The sequence below is a fragment of the Homo sapiens genome, chromosome 7, assembly GCF_000001405.40.
Source record: "Homo sapiens chromosome 7, GRCh38.p14 Primary Assembly".
Taxonomy (NCBI): Eukaryota; Metazoa; Chordata; class Mammalia; order Primates; family Hominidae; genus Homo; species Homo sapiens.
In genome coordinates this window covers 153,351,628-153,361,350 of record NC_000007.14, presented here as the reverse complement: position 1 = coordinate 153,361,350, position 9,723 = coordinate 153,351,628, and positions in this window count along the sequence as shown.

Below are 9,723 nucleotides of genomic sequence, written 5' to 3'. Positions count from 1 at the left end.
GATCTCAATGGAATATATTAAATAGGATATAAGGAGGCTGGACTTTAACAAACACAATTAAAAGAAACCTATTGACCAAAATGTATAATTTTGCTCTGTTGATTTCTTCCTTTCTTGACCCCCTGTTTAGGAAAAAAAAAAAGGAAAAATGAGTAGCAGAAATCAAAGTTTAAAAGGAGGACTAACTTTAAGCAAAGTGAAGCAGTTTTGTTATGATGGTGAGATGAACCTCAACAGAGGGAAAGCAGAAAAAAAAAAATGGTGGAAAAATGAGAAGGCAATGCAGCAGGCCCAAAACAACAGGTGAGAGAGTTCACTGTATATTTTAACTTCATATTTATAATAATTACAGACCAAATACACACACATATGTACATTGTTATGTATGTGGTAAAATTTTGGAGCTGAATTTGCTAAGTTATATTTAAGCCCCTTCATTTGCTGGATGAGAACACTGAGCCTGGAGATAATTTTAAGCATCTTCCCTAAATTGCACTGCTAATGCCTAGCAATAAGAGGAAAGACCCCATACTCGGACTAGTGCTGTTTCTATATATCCAACATCTGGCTCATTTCTACTACTAGAAAATGCTCTGCCAGCCTGGAAAACATGGTAAACCCCCATCTCTACAAAAAAATACAAAAAATTAGCCAGGTGTGGTGGCATGCACCTGTAGTCTCAGCTACTCCAGAGGCTGAGGTGGGAGGATCACCTGGGCGCAGGAGGTTAAGGCTGCAGTGAGCTGTGATTGTGCCACTGCACTCTAGCCTGGGCCACAGAGACCCCGCCTCAAAGAAAAAGAAAAAGAAAGAAAATGCTCTAGCTGTGCCTCTGATCCTGGCAAGGGGACTGTGGACACCCAAGTCTCGGGACCTGATCTCCCAAGGTGAGGCTCTCGGGCTGCCTCAAGCCCTGTTTCACGACCGACTGTTCTTATCCACATTGGTTAGGTTTCTGTCCGTTTCTTTTTCTGCACCAGTAGCTAGCACAGAGCCCAGCATAGTAGGATTTTGATAAATATTTGCTTAAAAGGTTAAAAAAAAGGAAGACAGATGTGTCATATATATTAATGTTTGGCTGGATATTTGATACCAAGGGTAGGTGAAGAAATAAAGTTATGGCCAAGGCTGGGTTGTTTAAGTTGCAGCCCAGAAATGTCACCTTCTGCCCTTCTGGACTTCCTGTTTCTCCAGCTCTGAGCCTGTCCAGATGCATTTAGAGGGGAAGACTGAAACTCAGTGATAACAGAAAAAGAATATTAGGATGCTGCAGCTGTAGCCCAATAAGCAAAAGCAAACTCCAAACTTGAAAACTGCTTAAGAAGCTATGAGGACTTCGGACACTGGGCAGTGGGGAAAAGGTTAGGGAGGGGGATAAAAGACAACATAGGCCGGGCGCGGTGGCTCACACCTGTAATCTCAACATTTTAGGAGGCCGAGGCGGGTGGATCACGAGGTCAAGAGATCGAGACCATCCTGGCCAACACGGTGAAATCCTGTCTCTAATAAAAATACAAAAAAAAAAGCCAGGAGTGGTGGCGGGCACCTGTAGTCCTAGCTACTTGGGAGGCTGAGGCAGGAGAATCACTTGAACCCAGGAGGCAGAGGTTGCAGTGAGCTGAGATTGCGCCACTGCACTCCAGCCTGGTTTCAGAGCGAGACTCTGTCTCAAAACAAAAACAAAAACAAAAAAACGACATATTGGGTACAGTGTACACTGCTCAGGTGACAGCTCCTGTGAAATCTCAGAAATCACCACCGAAAAACTTATTCAGGTCACCAAAAACCACCTGTACCCCCAAAACTATTGAAATTAAAAAAAAAATTAAAAAGAAAACTGCTTAAGAAGTTTGCTAAACATAATGAGAATATATGGAAATCATTGATGCAAAAGAGAGGAAAAGGGGTGTTCTGCTATTTCCTCCAGTTGGTTGTGTGTCAAACAGATGGAAATAAGGCTAAGCTCTTATCTACCCTAGGTGGCCTCGGATTTCTCTCTCCTCCGTAAGCATTCAATATCTAGAGTGGACAACCTAGAGATCCTGCCTGAGAAAAGAGACACCACAGAAAAAACCAACCCTGATAACACAAATAGATTCTCAGTTTTACTCTAAAAATAATTGCATTTTTTCCTGAATTGTCTTGACATTCTATTTATATTCATAGTTAACACATTATCATGTGCAATTAGTTGAAGAAGATGAGAAAGTGGTTTTCCCAAATCTAATATATAAAATTTAACATTTTCCATCAAGTTATGACAGAAAGAAAGATTACTTATAACAACCTGCATCATATCAAATTAATGGATTCTGCAACATCTCCAAGCAGGAGAAAAAAGTCTTTAGGGAAAAAGTGAAAGTATAAATGTATGATGGAATAGCCACAGTAATTACATTTCCAGGAGAAAACATTTTCCTTTCCTTAAGTCGACTGAAGCAAGATTATATGTTTCTAGGAGGAATGAATCTCTTTTTCATCTGCCATGGCTTGCCTAAACAGAGTAAATCTTTTTACCTACCTTAAGCTCCCACAGTCACATGGCCACATAATAAAGCCGGAATAAATGTCCCAGTGGATCAGAGCCAACTAGGAGATTAAGGTAGATCTTAACAAAGTCGCTGTTCCTGAATGCCTGGCTGGCTTTGCTGCACTGTTTTGCCTTAATCCTGATTTCCATGTCCCACTTCTTGTCTTCTTCCTGTCCATTATGCCCAGTCCTAGCCTTTATTTTCGAAGTTTGAGCTTATTCTTCATCACCTTGTTCGTGAGCCTAGGGCTACTGAGTCTAGTATCTCTGAAAGAGGCTGCAAGAGACTATTTGTCTGAAACATCCTTTTATTCCCTAACATCAATGTCCAATATCAGAGTTGGTAGCCCCAGCCATTCCTACCTCCCCTTAAGGAAATGTAGCAAGTTCTTTCTTCTATTGAGGCAGACTCATTCCCCAGGAACTTCTAACCACTCCAGGTACTTCACAATATTACTAAGGTGACTTGTAAATCAAGAAGAGGAAACAATTCAAGTTGAGGTTAGATCTCCATCATGGGTGCTTGAGAAGGCCTCTAACAGTGGAAAACATTTGAGAGTACACAACCTCTAGGGATGGCCTATTAAATATCTTGCACTATTGTTTAATAAATCTAATTGTTTTATCAATCTATGGTTTTATCTAAATCCTACGTCTATATTTACCTCATAGCCACACTTGGGAGGCTTAAGATCTACATTATTTTAGGGTCTGAGGCAGAAGGTGACTCTTTAAGATGAGAAAGAAATTACGAGTTTGGGGGACAAAAGGAATTCACTTCAGAGAATGCCATGGAAAAGAGCTGGATCAAAGACTATACCCCAAATTTTCAAGGCCATCCGATGACGGCCTCTCAAACCACACCCCACAGGCTAACTCATCTTCAAGCTGACAGTCCAGAGGAGTTGAGAGAAGCACAATTATGGGCCGACAAAGAGGAACAACATGTCTAGTTCAAGCAAGTGGCATCTCCTCTCTGGGTATCTTTTGTATATCAGGTTATAGATGAGGAAAACAAGTCCATCTCTAGCTCCCAGGCTTTGATCATAGGATGAGGAGGACTCTGCAAGCCCAAAGCACATTTGAGTGGTTTTACTAAAGGCACATCTCAGGGAAGCTTTCACGTCATTACTTAATGCAATGACTTAGCTGGGTCATTCATGGTGAAATCATTTTGCTGCATCATGCTTCTCTTGGTTAGCATTGCCCTTCTTCAGTTTGTAATTTCAATTGGCACATGTATGTTAGCTCATCCTTAGGAGCTGTTGAGTATTGACGCACCCATCTCCAGGCAGAAACAGGCCTGCCACCCTGCATAGCCTGCATGCATCCATTCTCTCCACGTGCCCTTTCTAAGTCTTGGTTCCCAATGTCCAGGACCTCACAGTGTAGGAGGGAAGACAAATGCTCAGACAAAGACAGGATGGCACCATCAGTAATAAATGCCATGGCTATGGCACATCAAAGAGTTAATGGCCTGGTCATTCTTATGTGAAAAAGAGAACTACTTGTCAGGATTTATAAATCACAAGATGGAATTATTTTTATTTTTAAATAGGAATCTTAGTTCCATATTACTCCCTAGCTTCATGTCATATGATAGTTCATGTCCCATCAAACAATACTACTCATTTTGCTTACTCTGCTTTCTATAAAACATCTAAAGTACACTCTCTCCTTCAACCAAGTGAGTCTTACCCTGTATATATATTCTAAAAATAACTTGTATAAATTTAGCCACCGTTACTTCAGCACTTATTATTTTCCTCTCTTTTCAGTTATATGTATCACTTAGTAAATGCAGCATAATATACACTAAACTAAAAAGAATTTTATTGTTTTCTGTTTTATAGGAAGAATATGATTTTTTTTTTCAGATTCAATCTGGCTGTGTTGCCCAGGCTGGAGTGCAGTGGCACGATCTCGGCTCACTGCAACCTCTGTCTCCTGGGTTCAAGTGAGTCTCCTGCTTCAGCCTACCGAGTAGCTGGGATTACAGGCGTGTGCCACCATGCCTGGCTAATTTTTTGTATTTTTAGTGGAGACAGGGTTTGACTATGTTGGCCATGCTGATCTTCAACTCCTGACCTCAAGTGATCTGCCTGCCTCAGCCTCCTAAAGTACTTGGATTACAGGCGTGAGCCACCACACCAGACCAGAAGAATATGACATTTGGATCAAAGTTCCTGGGATAACATCTTCCGCTTATTGATTAATAAGTTAATTTGCTTAATCTTTGGGGAGGCTTCAATATTTTTAAATGGTAATAATAATAGCTATTTTTAATGAGCACTTACTATATTTAACCAATGATCATAATTGAATCTTTTTTCACTTAGCATTCTAGATCTTGAAGATACAGTCTCTTTCTGTAATGAACTCAAATAAATGACGATGAAAATGTAGTGTGAAAGATTTCCAGTTTCACCTCCAGCATGTGAAGAGCTTGGAAGTCATCGCTCTTTTTCTTACAGCAGGAAAAATCTGGACAAAGTGAAAATCAATGACTCTTACTGAACTTATTAGAGAAGTGAGATAGTAGGGCAACCTCTCCCCAGATTCTGGAGAAACATATAGGGAGTCACAGCTGAAATCTGTTACCTGGAGCAGAAGTTAAAACTGGCAAACACACTTAAATTCAACACTTAAACATTTTGATGAATCCATTAATCAAGCTGGATGCTGAGTATGACGAGCATAAGAATAATAAACGTCTTGAAACCACACTATTGGAGGTGGAATGCAGCCACACTTCCTTGAGCTTTACTTCTGAGAACTCCACCAAGTTCACATGATGAAGATCTGGGAAAAATGCACATATGACTCTGGCAGAGAGATAAACTATATAATATGCCCAGAGTAGTTTCCACAACACAAGCCTGCTTTCTAGAGGAAAATATTTTGCCAGAAATTTATCCAGCAGGTAGAAGGGATCTCTTTCCACTCCAACACCCTCTAGTTTCCTTTCTCACCTACTAGGGAAAAAGTACATGTAAGTGGAATACCAGAGGAAGAAGAGATATCTGAGCAGAAGAAATAGTTGAAGTAATAATGTCACAGAACTTTCCAAAATTAATGGAAGACATCAAATCACAGTTCCTGAAGCTCAAAGATCACAAACCAGAATAAATGCAACAAACAAATTAAACTAAACTAAAACAAAATGAAACTAGGTATATAATAATCAAAAATTTTAAATCAAGGACAGAAAATCTTCTGAAAAGCCAGAGAGGGATAAAAGATGTTACCTGTATAGGAACAAGGATAAGAATTACAGCAAACTTCTCATTAGAAACCATGCAAGAAAGAAGAGAGTGAGTGAAATTCTTAAAGGATTGACAGAAAACAACATAAAACCAGAATTAGAATTCTATATTTGGTGAAACTATCTTTCAAACATGAAGAAGAAATAAATGCTTTCTCAGATGAACAAAAACAGGAAAAAAAAAAAAAAAACACCAGCAGACCTGCCTTGAAAGAAATGATAAAAGTTTTTCAGGCAGAAGGAAAGTGATATAAGTCGAAGAAACATGGATCTACATAAAGAAAAAAGAGCAACACAGAGGAAATAAAGGTAATAAAGTAATTAATTCATCTTAATTTATATAAAAGATAATAGTTTGTCCAAAGCATGAGTAATAATGATGTATTGAGTGATTAAGCACATGGATTAATAAAATGAATAAGAGCAATATCTCAAGGAATAAGAAATTGGAAATACTCTCTTGTAAGGCACCTGCACTACGTGAGGAATAGTATAATGTTATTGGAAGGAGGTGGAAGAAGGATAAATATTAGTTAAAAATTATATTACAACCTCTAGGGCAACCACAAAAATTTGTAAAAAGACATATAATTGATATGCTAAGAAAGGAAGTAAAATGGACTTATATGAAATATTTAATTAAAAATCAGAAGGCAGATAAATGAGGAAATAAAACACAAAACAAAGGCATCAAATATAAAGTTTAAAAAGTGGCACATATTAATCCAAGTATGTCAATAATTAATTTAACATAAATAGTTTAAATATACCAATCAACAGATTTTCAGCCACTTAAAAAACAAACAGAACAAACTAAATGTTATCTATAAGAAACCCATTTCAAATATGGCAACTCAGGTTAAAAACAAAAGAATAGAATAATCTTTGCCATACTAATACTAACGAAAGAAAGCTACAGTAGGCATATTAATTACAGACAATGCAGACTTCAAAACAAGGACTATTACTAGGGATAAAAGAGGGCATTACTTAATGATAAAGAGGTAAATTATCCAAGAGATATAACAATCCTTAAGATGTATGCATCTAATAAAAAAGCATCAAAACACGTGACTCAAAAAAAACTGCCACTGCTTAACGGAGAGATAGACAAATCTACCATTATAATTGGAGACTGTATAAAGACATAATTCTCATAATGCTATAAATACATAATTGACTCACAGTTCCACAGGCTGTACAGGAAGCATGGTTGGGGAGGCCTTAGAAAACTTACAATCATGGCAGAAGACAAAGGGGAAGTCAGCATGTCCTATATGGCTGCAGCGGGAAGAAGAGAGGGTGAAAGGGGAAGTGCTACATACTTGCAATCAACTAGATCTCATGAGATCTCTACTATGAGAATAGCAAGGGGAAAGTTTGCCCCCATGATTCCATCGCCTCCCACCAGGCCCCTCCTTCAACACGTGGGGATTACGATTTGAGATGAGATTTGGGTGGGGACACAGAGCCAAACCTTATTAGAGACTTCTGTAAACATCTGTCAGTAATTGATAGACCAAGCAGACAGAAAATCAATAAGGATATAGATGACCTGAATACCACTATTAATCAGCCTCATCTAATTTATAGGATATGCCATCCAAAACAGCAGGTTTATCTCATGCTTGGGTGGAACATTCACCAAGATAGACCATATGCTGAGCCATAAAAAACACTTTAACAAGTTTAAAAGAATAGAAATCATACAAAGTATAGGCATACATTGGAGATACTGTGAGTCTGGTTTCAGACCATCACAATAAAGTGAATACTGCAATAATACGAGTCACACAAATTTCTTGGTTTCTAGTGCATATAAAAATTGTATTTATACCATACTGTAATATATTAAGTGTGTAATATCATTAGGTCTGGAAAAAAAAGTATATACATTAATTTAAAAATATTTTCTTGCTAAAAAATGCTAATGATCATCTGAACTTTCAGAAAGTCAGAATCTTTTAGCTGGTGGAGGGTTTTGCCTTGATGTTGATGGCTGCTGACTAATCAGGGTGGTAGTTGCTGAAGTGGCTGTGGCAATTTCTTAAAATAAGACAATAATAAAGTTTGCTTTGTCAATTGACCCTGCTTTTCACAAATGATTTCTCTGTAGCATGCAATGCTATTTGATAGCATTTTACACACAGTAGAACTTCTTCCAAAATTAGAGTCAATCTTCGCAAACCCTGCTGCTGCTTTATCAACCAAGTTTATGTTGTCATTTCAACAATGTTCACAACATTTTCACCAGGAGTAGTTTCCATCTCAAGAAACCACTTTCTTTTCTCATGTCTAAGAAGCAGCTCCTCATATGTTCAAGTTTTGTTATGAGATCACAGCAATTCAGTCACATCTTCAGACTCCACTTATAATTCTAGTTCTTTTGCTATTTCTACCACATTTGAAGCAATTTCCTCCACTGAAGTCTTTGGCCACTCAAAGTCATTCACAAGGGTTGGAATCAACTTCTTCCAAACTCCTGTTAATACTGAAACATCGACTTCCTCTTATGAATTATGGATGTTCTTGATGACATCCCAAATGATGAATCCTTTCCAGAAAGTTTTCACTTTACTTTGCCAAGATCCACCAGGAAATCACTATCTATGGCAGCTATAGCCTTATGCAATGTATTTCCTAAATAATAAGACTTGAAAGTTGAAATTAGTCCTTGGTCCATGGGTGGTAGAATGGATGTTGTGACAGCAGGCATAAAAACAACATTCATCTCCTTGTACATCTCCAGCAAAGCTATTGGGTGACCAGGTGCATTGTCAATGAGCAATAATATTTTGGAAGGAATCTTTTTCTGAACAGCAGGTCTCAATAGTAAGCTTAAAATATTCAGCAAACCATGCTGTAAACAGATGTGCAGTCATCCAGGCTTTGTTGTTCTATGTAGACAACACAGGAAGAGTACATTTAGTGTAATTGTTAAGGACTCTAGGATTTATGAGATGGTAAATGAGCATTGCTTTCAACTTAAAGTAACCAGCTGTATCCGCCCCTAAAAAAAAGTCAGCTTGTCTTTTGAGGCTTAGAAGCCAGGCATGGACTCCTCTCTAGCTGTCAAAGTCCTAGATGGCATCTTCCAAAATAAGGCTGTTTCATTAACATTGAAAAATCTGTTGTTTGGTGCAGCCACCTTCATCAATTATGTTAGTTAGATCTTCTGGACAACTTGTGCAGCTTCTACATCAGCACTTACTGCTTCACCTTCCACTTTTATGTTATGGAGACAGCATCTTTCCTCCTGAACCAACCTCTACTTGCTTCCAACTTTTCTTTTGCAGTTTCCTCACCTCTGTCAGTCTTCATAGAAATAAAGAGAGTTAGGGCCTCGCTCCGGATTGGGCTTTGTCTTAAGGGAATGCTGTGGCTGGTTTGATCTTCTATCCAAACCACTCAAACTTTCTCCACATCAGCAATAAGGCTGTGTCACTTTTTTTTATCATTCATGCATTGACTGGTGTAGCACTTTCAATTTCCTTCAAGAACTTTTTTTTCACTTACAACTTGTCTAACTGTTTGGCACAGTGGCCTAGCTTCTGGCCCATCTCAGCTTTCAACAAGCCTTCTTCATTAAACTTAATCATTTCTAGCTTTTTATTTAAAGTGAGAGATGTGTGACTCTACTTTCACTTGAACAGTTAGAGGTCATCGTAGGGTTATTAATTGGCCTAATTTTAATATTGTTATGTCTCAGAGAATAGCAAGGCCCAAAGAGATAGAGAGAGAGAGGGACAGAAAAATGGTTGGTCAGTAGAGCAGTCAGAATACACACCACACTTATCAATTAAGTTTGCCATCTTATATGGTCAGAGCTCATGACACCCAAAACAACTACAATAGTAACATCAAAGATCAATGATCACAGATCACTATAACAGATATAATAATAATGAAAAAGTTTGAAATAGTGTAA